This window comes from Homo sapiens, chromosome 19 (genome assembly GCF_000001405.40).
Source record: "Homo sapiens chromosome 19, GRCh38.p14 Primary Assembly".
Taxonomy (NCBI): domain Eukaryota; kingdom Metazoa; phylum Chordata; class Mammalia; order Primates; family Hominidae; genus Homo; species Homo sapiens.
This window is the reverse complement of record NC_000019.10, coordinates 42,720,470-42,741,808: the sequence shown is the minus strand read 5'-3', so window position 1 is coordinate 42,741,808 and position 21,339 is coordinate 42,720,470. Positions and strand designations below refer to the sequence as shown.

The 21,339-nt window shown below is 44.5% G+C and overlaps 1 protein-coding gene across 3 annotated transcripts; it reads left to right on the top strand.

Annotated features, from left to right (window-relative positions):
- PSG3 (pregnancy specific beta-1-glycoprotein 3) lies at positions 1,328–20,167 on the top strand. 3 transcript variants are annotated; one of them, NM_021016.4, is made up of 7 exons: positions 1,328–1,488; positions 2,720–3,085; positions 8,747–9,025; positions 11,753–12,031; positions 12,432–12,686; positions 17,784–17,867; positions 19,719–20,167. In NM_021016.4, exons 1-6 carry the CDS (start codon positions 1,425–1,427, stop codon positions 17,825–17,827), a joined length of 1,287 nt encoding a protein of 428 aa, NP_066296.2. In that variant the 5' UTR covers positions 1,328–1,424; the 3' UTR covers positions 17,828–17,867; positions 19,719–20,167. The 3 variants fall into 3 exon arrangements, with proteins under 3 accessions (NP_066296.2, XP_011525428.1, XP_011525429.1); XM_011527126.3 differs by lacking the exon at positions 11,753–12,031; XM_011527127.3 differs by lacking the exons at positions 11,753–12,031; positions 12,432–12,686.
- Positions 20,168–21,339: the final 1,172 nt, after the last annotated feature.

Genomic DNA, 21,339 nt, shown 5'->3' with positions numbered 1-21,339 from the left:
ACACAGAACAGTGGCTGCCTGAGGGCCCACAGCCTCCCCGGGAATCAGCCAGGCACCCTGTGTCCTGCCTGCTCCCTGCACCCCGGGGGGCTCAGAGCACGTGTGATGCTCACACACAGGCACCATCCGGGATGTGGCCACCTACCCCCAGCTGTCCCTTGGGAAGACAGACCTCTCCTGTGTGCTTGCTGGGAGAAGGGGGATGTTATTGCTCTTTGCTCCCAGAACACAACTCACCCCCACACGCCCACTCAGGTGTGAGCAACGTCCCTCCAGACAGGCTCTCTGGCCACTACCTGTTCCTCCTCTACACACAGCAGCTTGGCCAGGTCAAAAACCTCAGGACAGACCCCTGGGTATGTCGGCACATGGATGGCTGAGCCCATCATGGCCACAGAGTAAGTTGGGATGAATCTCTCCAGCTCTGAACCCCTGCTCTGTCCCAGGCTCCCCCTCCTGCATCTCAATGAGCCATGTCCCCCGGGGTTCCTGGGTAACTCCCCACTTCCTCCTGCACCACCACGGGGAAGGTGTGGTGACCACAGGACAATAAGCTGGGCAGAGAAGAGAGGACATCAAAGATGGTCAGGAAGAACATGAGAAACCATGAGCTCCAGCTCAGCCGCCAGACCCCAGGGAGCCATAGAGTGACCGAGAACTGTCCCTTTGACTATGGGACTCACAGCCCCCCACTGAGCAACCAGCACAGGCCTCTCCTCACAAGAGGCATGAGAGATTCATCCTGCACACCTCCAGGAAGGACAGTTTCCTCTGGGACACCCAGGTCCTGAATGTCCATCCTTGGAAGCTGCAGCCAAGCTAGACACGATTAGAAAAAGGAAGGTTCCCTCTCATCAGGCAACACACAGCTCACCCACAGCACAATGGGGTGTCACTGTGACAGGGACCTGGTTCAGCTCCAGCCTCCTGCACTGAAGGGGAGAGCCAGATGGGGATGAAAGAGGCCAAAGGGCATGAATGTGCACCCCGACCCAGAGCCATGGGGACAGCAGGAGGCTGAGGCCCAGGACTCTGCTTGCCCAACCTGCAGGGTATGTTTCTGACTGTGTGGGTCTGTGTGTGTCTCTTCTGTGTGTGTCTGTGTGTGTGTGTGTCTGCACAAAGTGTGTGATGAGGCTTGGTGAAAGAATCACTGCTGAAAAAGGCAGAGGCCTCCACAATTCCCAGGGACCTGAAACACAGACAAAAGGAAAAACAGGAGGGACAAGGAGGCAGGACTGAGAGAGGAGGGGACAGAGAGGTGTCCTGGGCCTGACCCCGCCCATGAACCTGAGAAGTGCTCCTGCCCCGGGAAGAGGCTCAGCGCAGAAGGAGGAAGGACAGCACAGCTGAGAGCCATGCTCAGGAAGTTTCTGGATCCTAGGCTCAGCTCCACAGAGGAGAACACGCAGGCAGCAGAGACCATGGGGCCCCTCTCAGCCCCTCCCTGCACACAGCGCATCACCTGGAAGGGGCTCCTGCTCACAGGTGAGGAGAGAACTTCCTGGGAGAGGACAGGAGGAGGAAGCAGAGTGACTGGATGGGGTCTCCTGGAGAGACTCCTGGGGTTCTAAAAAATAAAAGAAGCCAGCACTTAGGGAGGCTGAGGAGGGTGGATCACGAGATCAGGAGTTCAAGATCAGTCTGGCCAACACAGTGAAGCCCTGTCTCTACTAAAAATACAAAAATTTAACCAGATATTGTGGTGTGCTCCAGTAATCCTAGCTACCCGGGAGGCTGAGGCAGGAGAATCACGTGAACCCGGGAGGAAGAAATTGCAGTGAGCCGAGATAGTGCCACTGCACGCCAGCCTGGGCGACAGTACAAGACTCCGTCTCAAAAAAAAAAAAGAATGGAAAGAAAAAAGAAAAAAAGGAAAGAAGTCTCTGTTGGAGCCTGGATAGGGGAAAATACACCCAAGAGGGACAGGGGTCAAAACAGGAAAGTCACAGGAACCAGAATTGGTAAGAGGTAGGAAAATCTTAAGTGTTCTGTTTTCCTGATTAATCATCAGGGGCCACCACATTTTGAAAAATGATAATAATAACTATATCAGATGACACTTCAAATAAAAATATAAGCAGGGCATGAAACACTGTCCTCAGCAAAAAAACCTCAACAACTGGGGGAAGAAAAAACACCCAGGGCATGGAGGGCCCTGAGAACTCTCACATCTACAGGAGTCTGCAGCCTGTTCCAGGCACTGGGGTGCAAAGAAGATCACAAAAGTCCCTGTCCTCACGGAGCTCACGCTGTCATGGGGGGGAAGACAGACATGCAAAGAGTTCTAGAATGTGAGGTCAGGTGTTGAGAAGAACCCTGGAGGGAGCAGAGCAGGGAAAGGTCAGAAAGGGAAGACCCAGGGTCTCTGAAGGAGGCGTCAGGAAAGAAGTCTAAGGATGCCCTGATGTGAGCAGGACCTGAGGGCAGTGTGGAGGGGGCCGTGCGGACCCCTGGGGAAGAGGATTCCAAACAGAAAAATGCCAAGGTCAGAAGTGTTGAAGGAATGGGGGTCATGTTGCTGACCTTCACCTAGTAGGAGAGTAGGACACAAACACATATACACATGCCCCTTTTGTGTGTGTGTGTGTGTTTGTATGTGTGTGTGTGTGTCTCTTCAAAGCTGAGGATTGAAGAGACCTTCTCAGGACCCAGGGCCACATCTTTTCACCCCAATGCATAGGTCTCAATATTGACTGATGCTCTCTCCACCTCCTAGCATTACTTTTAAACTTCTGGAACTTGCCTACCACTGCCCAAGTCACGATTGAAGCCGAGCCAACCAAAGTTTCCAAGGGGAAGGACGTTCTTCTACTTGTCCACAATTTGCCCCAGAATCTTGCTGGCTACATCTGGTACAAAGGGCAAATGAAGGACCTCTACCATTACATTACATCATACGTAGTAGATGGTCAAATAATTATATATGGGCCTGCATACAGTGGACGAGAAACAGTATATTCCAATGCATCCCTGCTGATCCAGAATGTCACCCGGGAGGACGCAGGATCCTACACCTTACACATCGTAAAGCGAGGTGATGGGACTAGAGGAGAAACTGGACATTTCACCTTCACCTTATACCGTGAGTGACTCCACGTGATCACTGGGTGTTGGGGGATGGGGTCTTTACTTCACACACAAAGGATTGTCAGGCCTGGATTGTGCCTGTGTCCCTCTCTGCATTATGTCCCATGCTGGGGTTTGGGCATTTAGTGCAGGACACACACAGAAGAGACAAATTTCAACAGATCAGAATTCCTTTCCCGCATCCAGACCCTGCAGACACTCGCTGCAGAGGAAGGACAGTCTGATGGGGGGACTCAGCAGGAGGAGATCAGTCTCAGCCAAGCACCTCATGCTCTCTTCATAAATTTGACCCTGAGAAAGACCCTGGCAAACTGAGTAGGGCTTGGCCTCAGGGGCCCCATGAAATACTCTCAGAGAAGCTCAGCCCTAGAAGCCTCACCCCCAGAACCATGTCCCTAAATCCTTGCTCCAGATAAATCTGAGGAGCCTGTACTGGGGCTGGGTTGTCGCTTCTTGGGCAGGGCTTACTGGGACCAAGGATTTACCAGCTGTCAGAGGACTGTGTCTCCTGGAGCTGTTCACCAGCCAGGGCTCAGCCCTCAGAGCCTCATCTGGGCAAGGACAGAGCTTTCTTCACCTGACACTCAGAGTGGAGAGGACAGAAAGACAAGCTTTGTAGGCCATCAGACAACTGCCTTAGGAGGCTTAGGCCAGTCCATAGAAAGTCTAATGTCCCCAGAAGCAGAAACAGAGGAGAGAAGATATACCAGGTAGCAGCTTGTCCACAGGCATCTGACATAAAGGTGCTTTCTCATGGAAGCAAATTAATAATAAATGCTGTTTGTGTGAAACCTCCACTGTGCCAAGAATTAGGTCACGTGACTGTGAATCATTTAACATTTATTCACAGATAGCATGAAAAGCCACAGTCCATTTGCCATTTAGCTTATTTGTTTGAGAGAAAACTGAGGCACAGGAAGCCACAGTCACTGAACCAGAGTCACACAAACACAAAGGGGAGATCAGGGTCACATGAGGTGTGTCTGGAGCCAAAGGCCCACCCTCTCCTCCACCAGAAGTGAGGGCTTACTGGGTTCCAATCACCCTATAGTCATTTATTGGCTCAAATCCTCTCTTCTTAGGCATCCAAACCTCAGAGGAGTGAGAGCAAACGGTCAACTGATTAGTCTGTATTCCAGAACTAAATCACCTACCTCAACCGTCAGAGTCAGTGGAAAAAACATGTCCAGGCCTCCCCCTCAGATCTTAACCACCATCACTGAACCTGAAATCCTGTGTTTCCCAAAGTGTCCATGTCACTGTCACAAGAGGATCAAGGAGAGGACCTTGTTTTCTTTCCCCACTCACACCCTACACCACCATAGGCCCAGCGAGACAGACACACTCAGGAGCTCTTACATAACAAATGAAGAAATGGAATGAAGAAATGAATGATCCAAAACCTCTTTAGAGACTGAATTTGCATGCAGAATCCTAGGAGGTTCTAGCCACACCTGTCCCTTGTCCTTCAGAGGCTGACACCCACGTTTCATCCCCCCACTACCTCTTGACCCTAAAGCAACCCCACCTCATGTAACTCTGAAGCTCTTTGGCCACCGGAGGGTTCTCAGGGCTCCTTGGTCCTGGACTGTGGAACTGGGGGCACCTGGTCCCTGGGGTCTCTGAAGTCAGTGTAGCCCTCACTGCTCACTGCCATGGTGTCTCTGCCTCTCTCTGCTTCTCTGTGTCCCTCATCTTCCTCCCACTTCATTCTGACTGGCAAGCCCTGTCCTGCACAGCTTCTTCCCCCACCCCTAGGTCTTCCCCAGACACTCCCTCTAACTAGGCTGACTGTTCAGTTCCCTTCCCGCTAACACTGTGGCCTGGCCCACCTCCCAGGAAATAGGAAAGGTGCAGAAATCACCTGGAGTTGCCACTCCTGCCAGGCTTCCTCTAGAGCCAATGTCCCCAGGTCACTAAGAGAATGAGTTTCCACTGTATTCCCATCCAGGGCTCTTTCCCTTTGTGAGGCTGACCTGTGGACAAGACCATGGGACAGGGATAGGCAGTTTCTCCATCCACTCTTATAATTGCCAGACAAGTTCTTCTGGCCTCCTGCACACACACACACACACACACACACACACACACACACACACACACACAAATGTATTGAAATGGTGGTTTGTAGTAAAGAAAGATTTTAATGACTCCAAGTCTGCCAAACAGGAGGATGGAGGTTTATTATTACTCAAATCAGCCTCCCCAGTGGATCAGGGCTTAGAGATTTTCAAGGATAGTTTCAGGGGCACAGGACTAAAAAATGAGTACTGCTGATTGGTGATGGAATCATGCGGGCGGAGGGAAATGATCTGTTTGTGCTTGAATCCACCTCTAGGTAGGGACCACATGACGGGCTGAGCCATTAGTCATAGGTATGGATGAGGTCAGCCGGTTGCCAGAATGCAAAAGAATGAGAAACATCTCAAAAGACCAATCTCACGTTCTACAATAGTGATGTTATCTATAGGAGCAATTAGTTACAAATTTTGTAAACTCTGGCCCAACGACATTTGAGCAGTCAAGGATTATAAAAACTCTGCCAACATTTTAGCAGAATTCAGTTCCCTCCTATAATCTTAATCTCATGGTCTTTCACTAGTTTTACAAAGGCAGTCCCTGGGCAAAGTAAGGGTGTTACTTTTACAGAGGAACAATTATCATTCTTGCTTCAAAGTTAAACAATAAACTAAATTCCTCCCAAGGTTAGCCTGGCCTATGCCCAGGAATGAGTGAGGACAGCCAGCCTGAGACTAGATACCAGATGGACTCAGCCATGCTAGTTTGCTGTCACTGTTGTAATCTTAGCACTGACTCACCAGAGTGTCAGAGGCTGGACAGGCCTGCAGTCCCCAAACCCCATGGGCTCATTTCACCCATTTCACTTGTGACTCCATCCTCAACCTGCTATAAAGCTCACATTCTCCGGTCACTTCCTAGAGACTTCTGGCTTCCTGTCAGGCATATAACAAGCTTGAAATTTGTTCCTCGGTTCTAACACTAAGTAAAAAGCTGAACAAACTCAAAAGTCAACAACTCATTAAAATCCCTCAGAGATGGCTGGGCACAGTGGCTCATGCCTATAATCCCAGGACTTTGGGAGGCCGAGGCAGGCACAAGGTCAGGAGATGGAGACCATCCTGGCTAACATGGTGAAACCCCGTCTCTACTAAAAATACAAAAAATTAGCTGGACGTGGTGGCAGGCGCTTGTAGTCCCAGCTATTTGGGAGGCCAAGCCAGGAGAATGGCATGAACCCAGGAGGTGGAGCTTGCAGTGAGATGAGATCATGCCACTGCACTCCAGCCTAGGTGACAGAGCGAGACTCTGTCTCAGAAAAAAAAAAATGTTTTTAGAGACATGAAGAATGCTTTTGATACTTACTGGTAGACTGAACATAGCTGAGGAAAGAATCCCTAGCTTGAGGATATGTCAATAGAAACTTCCAAAACTGAAACAGGAAAGTTCAACAAGAGTGGGGAAAAAAAGTGGAACAACATTTCAACTTCATATTTAATATTTTGATTTGACAATAGCAATTTTTAAATTTTGTAGCTGTGGGACAACTACAAAGGCTATAAGATACACGTAATGGGAATACTGGTGGTTTTGGGGACCAGGTGGAGGTGGCCAGGTGGGTGCTATCTGATGGCTTTACTGCCTGTGCCACATACAACTGTTTCCTCATGATGATGCCGTTTTCATAAGTTGGAGTTCTGCGTGTGGGGAGACACACAAACCATTGGCATCTCACTTAGACTCTTTCTAATTCACACAAACTTAAACACTAGTGGTGTTTCCTGAGCTTAAGAGAAAATGAAGAAAGCATTTCACATACCTGTTTTGGGGTCCTCCCCATTTTTCCTAACTCTGCACAGAAATTAGAAGCAGGTTCTTTCTATATTTACTAACATAACACACATCACTTCTTTTAGTTTGGCATCCTTCCTCCCTTTATGCAATTGACACACTAACCAGTTCTGTCCTTTTAACGGGACTCTCTCTACTTAAGGAGTTGCTAATTTCAAATCACCTTTGGCATCTTTCTTTGAGCATAATGTGATCCTGCTGGAATTCACGGCACACCTAAACCTTATTTTGGTCTCAAGAGAAATACTACTACCAGCAATTGATCTTAGATGTTTGGATCATCAGTAAAAATTTCCACTTATGAAAACATTTCAATGTTTCCTCCAAATTTTTTGCTGTTGTTGTTACTAGAGTCAGAACATAAGGTCTAAACTCCTGACAAATTTTTATGGGAAAATTACAGTATTACAAATTGAGCATCGGAAATCCAGAAATCCACAATCTGAAATGCTCCAAAACTCAACCCTTCTGACCACTGATGTGATGCTAAAAAGAAGTGCTCACTGGCGCATTGTGGATTTTAAATTTTTCAGATTTGGGATGCTAAACCAGTACATGTACTGTAAATATTCCAAAATAAAAAAAATTAGAAATCCAAAACACTTGGTTTTAAGCTTTCTGAATAAGGAGCACTTTATCTGTATGAACTATAGGCATGAAGCTGTACAGGAGATCTCTAGAACCTCCTCATCCTGCATAACTGAAACCGCACACCCACAGAACAACGCCCTATTCCCCTGATCCCAGCTCCTGGAAACTACTATTCTACACTCTGATTCACTCTGGAATCCACTGATATCAGGTACATAGAGTAGTCAAATTCAGAATCAGAGAGTAGAATGTCTAATGAGAGAAAGTATCTGCAAGGCTTCTTCCCAAATATTGGTCTAATATCCACCAAACACATATGGTCCATGAGGGCCAGACTTCCATCATCTGTTCATGTTCGCCCTTTCCACCAGTCGGTTCTGCATTTGCAAACATCCACATGTATTTCCAAAAAGATCCACATGGTCCTCACCTGCCCTCTACAGGGGGAAGGGAGCATCATGGACCCAGAACAGGGAACGTGGTCTTGGTCCAAAGCTATCAGCTCTTGCCTGTCCCCTTCACTCTTTGTAGGTCATTCCTTGGACTCTGCTCTATCTTTAGAGGTCACTGGCTCAAGTCAGCCACTATGAGACACCTGGGAAAACTGCCCCACCTTGTGGCTCCACTGCCTGATGACTGAACTGAACTCCGGACTTGACTCTGTTCTCCCCTGTGTTATTTCTGCTGAAGTACCCAGTCCCAGGTCAGGCTTTCCAGTATCCAAAGGGTTTAAAGACAATTGGAAGTTCCATCACCCATCTCTAGGATGTCCTTGGCAAGGGAAGCTGCAGAGAAAACATACCTCGGGCGGCAAAGTAAGACTGAAACTAAGAAGATTCCAGCACTGCATGCTCCAAGTGAGGACCACAAGGTGGGCCAGGCAGGCACTTCGAGATGGAGGGACTCAGAGAGGCACCAGGGGCTGTGACTGCTGGTCCTGTGTCTTTCCGTGACCCAATGCTGCTGCTCAATTCACAGTTAAGAAAGTCTGTGCTTCTCCCACACGAAGCAGGCAGCCTCACAATCTCTGAGCCCTCAGATTGCCATGCATCTGTCTTGTAACACACACACCTGCCATGGGCTTTTAAGGACTTGGGTGGGCTGAGAGGTGGGAAATGCCAACTCTGATTGAAAAATGCCTTTGGAGGAATCAAAGGTGCCACACAGGGCAATCTTCTCTCTGTTTTCTGCACAGTGGAGACTCCCAAGCCCTCCATCTCCAGCAGCAACTTATACCCCAGGGAGGACATGGAGGCTGTGAGCTTAACCTGTGATCCTGAGACTCCGGACGCAAGCTACCTGTGGTGGATGAATGGTCAGAGCCTCCCTATGACTCACAGCTTGCAGTTGTCCAAAAACAAAAGGACCCTCTTTCTATTTGGTGTCACAAAGTACACTGCAGGACCCTATGAATGTGAAATACGGAACCCAGTGAGTGCCAGCCGCAGTGACCCAGTCACCCTGAATCTCCTCCGTGAGTATCTCCTGTTCCTCTGTGAGCCAGTCTGCCATCCCAAATACACGTGGCCAGAGGCCAGGCCTCTCAGTCCCTCTCAGGTCCAAGTACAGAGACCTTTACCCCTGGACATCAAACCTGGCCATGACTTTCTGCCCCAGGCAAACCAGAGTAGGCCTAGGCTTGATCAACAATAGGAGAAAAGAGGCTGCTCCTGTCATGGGAGACTCAGCGTCCACAGCTTGTGATGGGCAAAACAGGTGACTGTCTCAGGCTCCAGATCAGTGAACACAGCAGGGATTTGGCTGGGACTTCAGTGTTGCAACTTGGCTCACAGGGTCACTGTGGCCCTTCCACAGACCAGGATTTTCCCTTCCCTCTGACAATACCACCTATGACATTATTCTCTTTGCTCCACATGGCCTGGATGCCCCCACCATTTCCTCCTCATACACCTATTACCATACAGGGGAAGCCCCCAAGCTCTCCTGCCTCACAGACTCTCACCCACTGGCAGAGCATTCTTGGCTGATTGATGGGAAGTTCCAGCAATCAGCACAAGTGTTCTTTATCCCCCAAATCACTAAAACATATAGAGGGGTCTATGTCTGTTTCATCCATAACTCAGCCACTGCTGGAACAAATCTCATAATCAAGAGGATCATAGTCCCTGGTAAGTGGATCCCTGGAGCATTGGCACTATGTTTTCCAGTGAAGTCTATCTAGCTATCAGGGAAGAGCCACCTGCCCTCTGCAAAGGGAGAGGGAAAATCAAAAACCCAGGACAGGGAATATGTTTCTGCTCCAAAACCACCAGCTTTTGCCTGTCCCCTTCACTCTTTCTAGATCATTCTTTAGACTATACACTAACAATGAACAATCTGAAAGGAAATTAAGGAAAGAATTTCAGTTCACATTAACATCAAAAGGAATAAAATATTTTGAAATAAGTTTAACCAAAAAGTCAAATGATTATACCCTGAAAACTACAAAAGATTGCTGAAACAAGTTAAAGACGATATCAATATATGGAAACACATTTCATTTTCATGGATTGGAGGAATCAATATTGTTAGAAAGATAATATTCCCAAAGTGAGTTGCGGATTCAATGTAACACCTAACAGAATCCCAGTAACATTTTTTGCAGAATTAGAAAACACTGTCCTAAATCTCACCTGACAGGCTCTTATTAATGACTGCCACAACAGATACACTGAGAAAAAGAGGCAACCATGAAAAGGTGGAAAGTTCTGATGACATAGAAAATAGCAATCAGCCTTTCTCACATCCCAAGGCCTTCAAAAATATACAAGTGCAGCATGGCCAGTATGGAATTCACCGAAAACTAATCACCAAGCTAGAAAAGTGGTGAGAGAAAAAAAAAGGGCAAGAATATCTTTGGCTTATCACCTCCCACTTTTGCCTACTAATCTGATGCTGAAAAGAAATGCTCACTGAAGCATTTTAGATTTTGAGTCTTTCAGATTTGGGATGCTAAACCAGTAAGTATATGACAAATATTTCAGAATCAAAAAATGTCAGAAATCCAAAACACTTTTTGTCCTAAGTCTTATGCATAAGAAATACTCAATCTGTGTGAACTATAGGCATCAAGCTCTACAGCAGATCTCTAGAACCTCCCCACCTTGAATAACTGAAACTGCCCACCCATGAACAACTTCTGATTCTCCCCACTCCCAGCTCCTGGCAACCAGCAGTCTCTTCTCATATTCACTCTGGAATCCACTTACATGAGGTCCCTAGAGTAGTCGAACCCATGGAATCATTGAGTAGAATGTCCAATGAAAGAAAATATTTGCAAAACTTCTCTCCAAATTTGTCTCATATCCATCAAACACATATGGTCCATGAGGACCAGATTTCCAGCAGTTCATTCCCACCCTTTCCACCAGTCAGTGCTGCATTTGCAAATGTCCACATGTATTTCTGGAAAGATCCACATGGTCCTCACCTGCCCTCTGCAGAAGGAGAGGAAACTTAAAGAACCCAAGACAGGGAACATGCTTCTGCTCCAAAGCCACCAGCTCTTGCCTGTCACCTTCACTCTTTCTAGATCATTCCTTGCACTCTGCTCTATCTTTAGAGGTCACTGGTTCAAGTAAGTCATCATGAAACACCTGCAAAAAACTGCCCCACCTTGAGCCTCCACTGCCTGATGACTGAACTGACCTCCAGGCTTGATTCTGGTCTCCCCTGTGTTATTTCTGCTGAAACATCCAGTCCCAGGCCAGGCTGCTCAGTATCTTCAGGGTTTCAGGGCCATGGGAAGTCCCATTATTACTCATCTCTAGAATGTCCTTGGAAATGGAAGTTGCAGAGAAATCACATCTATGGGGGCAAAGTAGGATGGAATTTGGAAGGGGCCCACCAGTTGCACATTCCAGGTAAGGAACCCAGGGTGAGCCAGCCAGTCAACTGATTATGGAGGGACTGGGAGGGGTACCAGGGGCTGTGACTCCCATTGACGTGTCTGTCCATGACCCAACACTGCTGCTCAATTGACACTTGAGAAAGTCTGTGCTTCCCTAAGACAGAGCAGCTGGCCTCACAGTCTTTGAGCCCTTAGATCATCATGCATCTGTCTTGTGACACACGCACCAGCTATTGGCTTTCAAGGACTCGGGTGGGCTGAGAGGTGGGAGATGCCAACTCTGATTGAAGGATGCCAGTGGAGGAATCAAAGGTGCCACACAGGACAATCTTCTCTCTGTTATCCACACAGCGAAGCTGCCCAAGCCCTACATCACCATCAACAACTTAAACCCCAGGGAGAATAAGGATGTCTTAGCCTTCACCTGTGAACCTAAGAGTGAGAACTACACCTACATTTGGTGGCTAAATGGTCAGAGCCTCCCGGTCAGTCCCAGGGTAAAGCGACCCATTGAAAACAGGATCCTCATTCTACCCAGTGTCACGAGAAATGAAACAGGACCCTATCAATGTGAAATACAGGACCGATATGGTGGCATCCGCAGTTACCCAGTCACCCTGAATGTCCTCTGTGAGTATCTTTTGTTCCTCTGTGGGCCAGGACACCAGCTTAAATCAAAACGACCAGAGGCCAGGCCTCTCACTCTCTCTCTGGTCCAAGTATAGATACCATTACTTCTGGACATCCGAGCTGGCCATAACTTCCTGCCCTGGGAAGATCTGGGTAGGCACAGCCTTAACCAAGAATATAAGGGGAGGGGACGCTCTTGTCATGGGAGACTTGGGGCCCACAGCTTGTGATGGGAGAAACAGGGGAATACCTCAGGCTTCAGCTCAGTGAACATAGAGGGGGTTTGGCTGGCACTTGAGGGTGTGTCTTGGCTCAGAGGGTCACTGTGTCCCTTTAAGAGACCAGGAGCATCCCCTTCCCTCGGATGACATCACCTGTGGCTTTATTCTCTTTGCTCCAGATGGTCCAGACCTCCCCAGAATTTACCCTTCATTCACCTATTACCATTCAGGAGAAAACCTCTACTTGTCCTGCTTCGCGGACTCTAACCCACCAGCAGAATATTCTTGGACAATTAATGGGAAGTTTCAGCTATCAGGACAAAAGCTCTTTATCCCCCAGATTACTACAAAGCATAGCGGGCTCTATGCTTGCTCTGTTCGTAACTCAGCCACTGGCATGGAAAGCTCCAAATCCATGACAGTCAAAGTCTCTGGTAAGTGGATCCCAGCATGCTTGGCAATAGAGTTTTAGGTGGAGTCTCTCTGGCTTTCAGAGAAGAGTCAGGAAAACATTTTTATTCCCAGCCTGTGTCCCATGGGCACAAGCAAATCCCAAATTCTCCTCCTGAACCCTCCCAATTTGTCTCTACAGACTCTCTTCTCCTTGTTTTTCTGTTTTCTCATGGCTGACCTTGTGTCTGGCCTGAGAAAGGTACGGAGCGGGCTTTATCAGCCCTGAGCCCTATGTGGTAGAAGAGGATTCAGAGAGGGACAAGAAGGAGAGTCCTCAAGATCAAGTTGCTTCTTGCTGTCACCAACACATCCCCTTCTGCCACGTCTTTGTTTTCTTGTACCTATTCTATGAGCTACAAGGAACATCCGAGGCTTTGAAACAAGCTGACACTTTTCCCCCAGATGAGAGGAGGAAGCCCCTTGGGTGAGGGAGGAGCAGCTCAGACTCTGCTTCCTGCTCTGCTCCAGGCTCCTCTGGTGACTGGCCCTGCCTGACTCCACCTGGGTGGGACCAGCATCTGTGGAGAAAGAGCCCTGGTGGCCTGTCCTGAATTTGGCTAAATCGAGTTGCCAGTTGAAGCCAAGCCTCCCCCGGGCCAGGCTGCAGGGAAACAAAAAGAGAGGGAGCCTCAGGGCAGACTCCTGAGCTGTGTCCTGGCTCTGAAGTCACCGGCTGTATGAGGCTGTGGGCACAGCACCTGGGACACAGCACGGAGGACAGTGACTGATGCAGAGCTGGAGAAATAGGGAGATTCACCCCTAGGGCTCTGCATGGCAGGAAAGGGGCAGTGCCAAAAAGTGTGTAATTATAGAGAGGGTAAGACTACTGGACACTTTATATATATCTAATATAAGACTTACCATTAACTATTTCTAAGTGTGCAATTTAGTGTTGTGTAACCATCACACTATCCATTTCCAGAACTTTTTCCTCTTACCATATTAAACCTCTGTAGCCAATAAACAGTAACTCTCACTCCTTCTCCCCCTAAACCTTAGCACCCACCATTCTACTTTCTGTCTCTATGTAACTGGCTATTCTAACTATCTTTTATAAATGGAATTATATAATAATTATCCTTTTGTGTCTGGCTTATTTCAGTTAGCATAATATCTTCAAGGTTCATCCACTTTGCACTATGTATTGGAATTTTATTCCTTGTTAAGGTTGAACAACATTTCAATGTATAGATACACCTCATTTGCCTACCCACTTATCTTTCAATGGACTTTTCAGTTGTTTCCATTTTTTGGCTAGTGTGAGTAATGCTTCTCTGAACATCAGTTTACAAATATTTGTTCAAATTTCTTTCAATTCTATGGGGATTATGTCCAGAAGTGGAATTGCTGGATCAAATGGTAATTTATTGTTTAATTTTTTGAGAGAGAGCCACACCACTTCTTACAGTGGCTATAACATTTCCCATTCCCATCAGCAATGCACTAGAGCTCCAATTTTTCCATCTACTTGAAAACACCTGTTGTTTTGTGTTGCTGTCATTGTTGTTGTTTATCAAAACCATCCTAAAGTGTGTGAGGTGGTGTAACAATGTGGTTTTGATTTGCATATCTCCAAGTATTCCTGATGCTGAGGAACTTTGCATGGGCTTATTTGATATTTGTATATCTTCCTTGGAGAAAACTCCATTTTAATCCTTTGTTCATTTTTTAATTGGGTTTTTGGATGTTTGCTGTTGTTGACTTGTAGCTTTTCATGTATTCTGGAAATTAATTTCTTATCACACATATAATTTGCAAATATTTTTATCATTTCGTGGGTTGCTTTTTACTTTCTTGATAGTGTTCTTTGATATATAAAAGGTTTTGATTTTTATGAAGTCCGATTTATCCATTTTATTTGTTGCCTATGCTTTTGTTGTTACAACCAGGAAATCATTGTGAAATCCAGTATCATGAAGCTTTTCTTCTAAGAGTTGAATAGTTTTTGCCCTTACATTTAGATCTTTGATCTATTGTGGGTTACTTTTTGTACATGGTGTTAGGTAAAGGTTCCACTGTTCTTGCCCTTGGATATCCACCTTTCCCAATATCATTTGGTGAGAAAACGGTCCCTTCCCCATTGAACGATCTTGGCACACTCGATGAAAATCATTTGGCCATATATGCAAGCATTTCTTTCTGGGTTATTATATTTCATTAATTTCTATGTCCTCCTTTATGCCAGTACCACAGTGTATTGATTACTGGGGCTTTGTAGTAAATGCTGAAATCAGGAAGTGTGAGTCCTCCAGCTTCATTCTTCCTCTTCAAAGCTGTGTGTCTATTTAGAGTCATGAGATGCAATATAAATTTTAGGACAGATTTTTTTTTACTGCAAAAATGTCACTGAGATTCTGATAGGAATTTTATTGAATCTGCAGCTCACGTCAGGTAGCACTGTCCTCCTAACAATATTGAGTCTTCCAATTCATGAAAACAAAATGTCTTTCAATTTATTGATGTCATCTTTCATTTCTTTCAGCCATATTTTGTAGATTTCAGGTATAATCATTTTACCTCTTTGGTTAAACTCATTCCTAAATATTTTATTCTTTTTGATGTTAATATAAATTGAAATTTTTTTTCTTAATTTCCCTTCAGATTGTTCATGGTTAGTGTATTGAAATACAACTGATGTTTGAATGTTGATTTTGTATTGTGCAACATTACTGAATTTATTTATTAATTCTAATAGGTTTGTTCCATCTTTAGGATTTTCTACATATAAGTTCAAGTTATCTGTAAACAGAAATAATTTTACTCCTTCCTTCCAATTTTAACGTCTTTTTTTAAATTCTTGCCTAATTTTTCTGACTAGACCTTTCAATACTATGTTGAATAAAAGTGTCAAAAGCAGGCACCCTTGTCTTGTTCCTGCTCATACAGGGAAAGCTTTCAGTCTTTCTCCGTTGAGTATGATGTTAGCATTGGGTTTTTCACATATTGCCTTTACGTTGAGGTGGTTTCCTTCCCTTCTTAGAAAGTTTTTATTATGAAAAAATATTGAATTTCATCAAATGTTTTATTGATTCAATCTTATTACTGATTATAGTTCCATTCATATTTTTGTGTGTTTCTAGGGGTTTGTCTACTTCATCTAGGTTATCCAATTTATTGGCATACAATTATTTATAGTACTTTCATAATCATTAGTTTATTAGAATTGGTAGTAATCGCTTCATTTTTCTTTTTTCTTTTTTTTTTTTTTTTTTTGGTTGTTGTTGTTGAAGAGAGAGAGACAGGCTCTCACTCTGTAGGCCAGCCCAGGATGGAATACAGTGGTGTGATTATGGCTCACTGCAGCCTCAACCTCCTGGGCTCAAGTAATTCTCCTTCTTCAGCCTCCCAAGATGCTAGGACTACAGGTGCATGTCACCATGCGCAGCTAATTGGCTTTTTTATTTTTTTGTAGAGACAGGGTCTCCCCAGGTTACCTATGCTGGTCCAAACACCTGGTCTCAAGAAATCCTTCTGCTGTGACTTCCCAAAGTGCTAGGATTAAAACATGACCCACCATGCTCAGAGTCCATTTTCATTTCTGATTTTAGGAATTTTAAACTTTTCTCTTTTTTTCTTAGTCAATCTAGTTAATGGTTGTCAATTTTGTTGATTTTATTTTGAAGAATCAACTTTTGGTTTCATTAATTTCCTCTATTCTTTTTCCATTCTCCATTTTATTTATATCCACTCTAATCCTTATTTTTCCCTCATTCACTGTGCTTGGGTTTAGTTTGTTCTTCTTTCATATCCTGAAGTATTAAAGTAGGTTGTTGACCTGAGATCTTTCTTCTTTTTTAATGTAAGAGTTTACAGTTATAAATTTCTTGCACAAGACTCAATTTCTCTGAACCTCTGATACCTCACCTGAAAACTGCAATAAGAGTGCTTTCTTCATACCTTTCTTTTAAAGGTTTAATGCAGTCAATAAAACGAGATGCCACACACAGTGGAACCAATGTCAGCTGCTATATGACTACCATCATCATTAGCCTAGAGGTCAAATAGTCCTAGAATCAAATCTCAGATCCACCTGTCACTAGCCATATGACACCAGGAAAGTTTTACACCACTCTAAGCTTCTGTCTTTTCATCGGCAAAATGGAAATAATGTCTACCTCACAGGGTTATTGTGTGGATTAAATGAGATACAGGGAAAGTATTTAGCACAGGGCCTGGCACATAGGAAGTGCCCCTCAACAGTACCTTCCTTTTTCCATATATATATATATGGAAAAAGAGGTAACACATAAAACACTAGGACATGGTTACTGACTACTTGTGGGAGAGAAAGAAAAAAAGCTAAGTGCAAAGAATCAAGCCTGGTATGTTAGTTTTTACTGACTGAGATGCATCCAAGATGGGATTAGACATACAAGATAACTTATCAGGGAAGACACCTGTGAGGGAATGTGGGGCAGGCATGAAGGTAGTACGGGAGAACCCACAGACCACTATGCAGAGCTGATTCCTGTGAAAAAGAAAGAGAAAGAAGTTTTAGGTACCAATTCAATTATAAGAGTTTTTGCAAGGCTGATGGGGAATCCTCCAACCAGTCACCCATTAGAGTTAAAGAGAGCCTCAGAGAACTAGACTTGCTTTCACGCCCTTGCTGGGAGCCTGTAGGAAAGAAGCTTTCTGTGCAAAGGAGGTGGTGAATTTGAAATGCACTGACCTGGGCCTTCTGTCAATCAAGTCTCTGCCATGGAGACCTGGCAGGGTCTCATTCATGACTGCCACAACAGAGACACTGAGAAAAAGATGCAACCATGAAAAGGTGCAAAGGTGGCAAGTTCTAATGACATAGAAAATAGCAATCAGCCTTTCTCACATCTGAAAGCCTTCCAAATATCTGAGCACAGTAGAGAATTGACAGAGGACTGATCACCAACTGAGAAACAGGGTGAGAGGGAAAAAAAAACTGCAAGAATATAATCATCTCCTATCAATTTTCCAACAGAAATAACGTAGTCCTTGAAGAAACAATTATAGAGTACCTCATGTTACATGCTTGTTCCTGAGGCTCCCCCATGTAAAATAACATCATCTTCATTCCTTCTTTTCTTTTTTTTCCATGACAGCTCCTTCAGGAACAGGACATCTTCCTGGCCTTAATCCATTATAGCAGCCGTGATGTCATTTCTGTATTTCAGGAAGACTGGCAGGTATGATGACCTTTCCTCTTATCCTGGTTCCTGCAGGGCTAACTGCCATGCTTGGGAGAGGGAAAAGACTTATTTGCCTGTATCTGGGACTGGATCTCCTCCTTCCTCCACTAACTCCTGCTTCTCAGCACTAATTCCTGCAGTTCCCTTTCTCCCTGGCCTTTATGCTCCCTGTACCCCACTGTCTTTTAGACATAATTATCTCCAGCCTCTCTCTCTGCTCATTTGTTTCTCAGATTCAAATGAAAAACACAATTTCACATGGTGAAACCCTCTTCATTATTTTTAACATCTCTCAATAGTGTAATTCTCTCCATTCCCATAAAGCTCAACCACTTCTCAAAGTATTGCTTGACTTCTTGTCTCCAGACTTTGAAATCTTCCTTGCATATGACTGCCTCATTACCTTTCTAAAATCTAGTTAATTCACTTAATCAAGAATCTCCAGGGGTCTACTCTAGCCACTTTGATAAGTTCACATTTCTTCTATTTACTAAGCCTTCTCACTTCCTTTACCGCTACTTCCTAGTATAATTCCTCCATCCTAATTAGAACTGTCTTCCTACACACCCCTGTCCCTTCACCCATATAGATATAAAATTCTTAGTTCCAATGCTATGTCTGAAAACAGAGTGAAATCCCCTCTACCATCTGCACTGCAGACTTAACCACACCCTTCATCACAAGCAACATCTGACCTCGTGGAGAACTAAGACTTTAGGATTAACATGTGAACCTGAGACTCAGAACACAACCTATGTGTGGTTGAGATCTTTTCCTGATGACCAGTTCATGTGTTTAAAAAAGATACAGAAATGATGAAGGCAAGGTCCCTACGCCAGGAGACATAAAGCCTAAGACAGGAAATGAGACCTGAAAATAATCATGATACCAAAATAGAAAAAATTGAATGCCACAAGAAATCAGAGAAATCTGATGGGAAATAGAGCTACACATTGGAATCACTGGAAAACATTTTTAAAAGTGGATGCTCAAGCCCCACCCATTAGTTCCAGTTTAAAGGTCTGGAGAGGGACCCAGGCATTGGTAATTTTTAAGTCTTCCCTGACACTACTAACATGTAACAAGGATGGAGAACTCTTGTTGTAATAGGTAGAACTTAAAACTAAATCAATGATGTTCAGCTGGAAGTACTGGAATTACCTAAGGACCTTTTTCAACATACATAAGACTATACTTTTTTGGCCCTATTTATGAATGGGCTACACCAAGAACTCAGTAATCCAGTTAACAAACAGAAGCTGAATGGAAAAGCCACTTTATTTGATAAGTTAAATTATATAGAAAGCATTTTCAAATAAGTGATAAGTGATGCTAAACCTCCTCTAAATAATATTTATGGGAATGTTAATAATATGAGTATTCTAGGCTGGGTGCGATGGCTCACGCCTGTCATCCCAGCACTTTGGGAGGCCGAGGTGGGCGGATCACAAGGTCAGGAGATCGAGACCATCCTGGCTAACACGGTGAAACCCCATCTCTACTAAAAATGCAAAAACAAAATTAGCCGGGCTTGGTGGCAGGCACCTGTAGTCCCAGCTACTCAGGAGGCTGAGGCAGGAGAATGGCAGGAACCCGGGAGGCGGAGCTTGCAGTGAACTGGGATCGCACCACTGCACTCCAGCCTGGGTGACAGAGTGAGACTCCGTCTCAAAAAAAAAATTTTTTTAATGAGTATTCTAAAAATTATATGAAATTTCTGGAAATCAAATATGTTATCATAGTGTCATATGCCACAGAAGTAACTAGATTTTGTGAGCTGTGTCTTTACCATAATAAATTCTCATTAGATTTTTAACCATAGTCATTTTAAATCTTTGTCATTCCCAGACAGTTGCTTTCATTCTTCCTCAAAGTATTTACCATCAGCTACAGTCCAAAATTGCTTTTTGTTCAAGGAGATTTATGAAAAGACTCTGACAAGGACTCTTGAATACAAGTTCCTGATAACTTCAAGATCATACCACTGGACTAAGAACTTTCAAAATTTTAATGAACAGGCTGATACTTCATGAAATTCAAGACAAAGAAAAAAACCCAATTTTATTGGACTAAATAGTCAAAACAATGTTTTCATAATTTTCTATTTGAAAATGTGCTGATTCTTTGAATGTTTTATTCTCCAGATTTATGCACTTTTTTTCTTCAGCAATTGGTAAAGTATACTTTTGTAAACAAAAATTGAAACATTTGCTTTTGCTCCCTAAGTGCCCCAGAATTGGGAAACTATTCAGGAGTATTCATATGTTTATGGTAATAAAGTTATCTGCACAAGTTCAGTAAGGATCTGCTCTCTTTATAACAGGACACATTTGAAAACATTGGTTATATTACCAAGGCTTTGACTGGGATGTTATATTTGAGAATATACATAGAATAAACCCATAGGGAATGCAGGCAAAGTCTGAAGTTGGCCTTGGTTTGGCTTCTTAGTCTCAAGAGGTTTTTGGAAGTTTAATCTGAGATTCTTACTAAAAACTTCCAGCAAAGGGGAGTTTAAAAAGAGCCTCTATGGTCCATCGCTACTCTTGCCGCACTTAGGTAAAAAATCTGGGCAAGTTCGGTGAGACTCAACCTATTTTGCAAAAGAGTTCATCCTACTGGAATTATCTTTGGTAAAAATAGAGACTCCTATAAAGAGAAAAACTATGTTGAAAAGAAAAACTGTAGTACACCTGTTACCAGATTGAACCACTGTTCATTATCTTTGAGTACTTATAATCCACTGGTAGACTGGACTGGACCCTGAATTCTTTTAGTTCTTCCAATTTAATTTTCTCCAGTGAAATCATTAAGAACAAGAGCAGCTCTGTTCCTGAAGCCATATAAGATGGAGATGGACAACTCAATGTAAATTTCATGGAGAAACCCTCGTGTCTGAAGTGTGGGCCACTAAGAGCTCACCAAATGTTCAACACCATAACTTAGAGACACTCAAACTGCAAACCACGACAAGTTGATGACTTTACACTGTGGACAGCTTTTCTCAAGATGTTAGAACAAGACTATCAGTCATGATGAGACTGTTACCTCTCTTAATTTGTCCTTGCTTCTGCCTGTCTCCTTTGCTTCCCAGAATAATGCTGTACTTAGGATTTCACAAGAAGTAGCTTCTGAGAGTAAGTTAACAGTGTCCGATATATCATGTCAACCACACTTTTTTTTTTTATAAGATGGAGTTTCGCTCTTGTTGCCCGTGCCAGACTGCAATGGCACAATCTTGGCTCACTGCAACCTCCGCGTCCTGGGTTCAATTGATTCTCCTGCTTCAGCCTCCGGAGTAGCTGGGATTACAGGCATGCGCCACCACGCCCACCTAATTTTGTATTTTCAGTAGAGACAGGGTTTCTCCATGTTGGTCAGGCTGGTCTCGAACTCCCGACCTCAGGTGATCTGCACGCCTCAGCCTCCCAAAGTGCTGGGATTACAGGCGTGAGCCACCGCACCCAGC

What these genes read in the sequence shown, in the direction of transcription:
- PSG3 (NM_021016.4), top strand. Translation starts at nt 1,425, where the DNA reads ATGGGGCCCCTCTCAGCCCCTCCCTGCACACAGCGCATCACCTGGAAG. An exon ending in TTTCACCTTCACCTTATACC is followed by an intron (nt 3,086 to 8,746) that starts GTGAGTGACTCC and finishes TTTTCTGCACAG; the next exon opens with TGGAGACTCCCAAGCCCTCC. An exon ending in AGTCACCCTGAATGTCCTCT is followed by an intron (nt 12,032 to 12,431) that starts GTGAGTATCTTT and finishes TCTTTGCTCCAG; the next exon opens with ATGGTCCAGACCTCCCCAGA.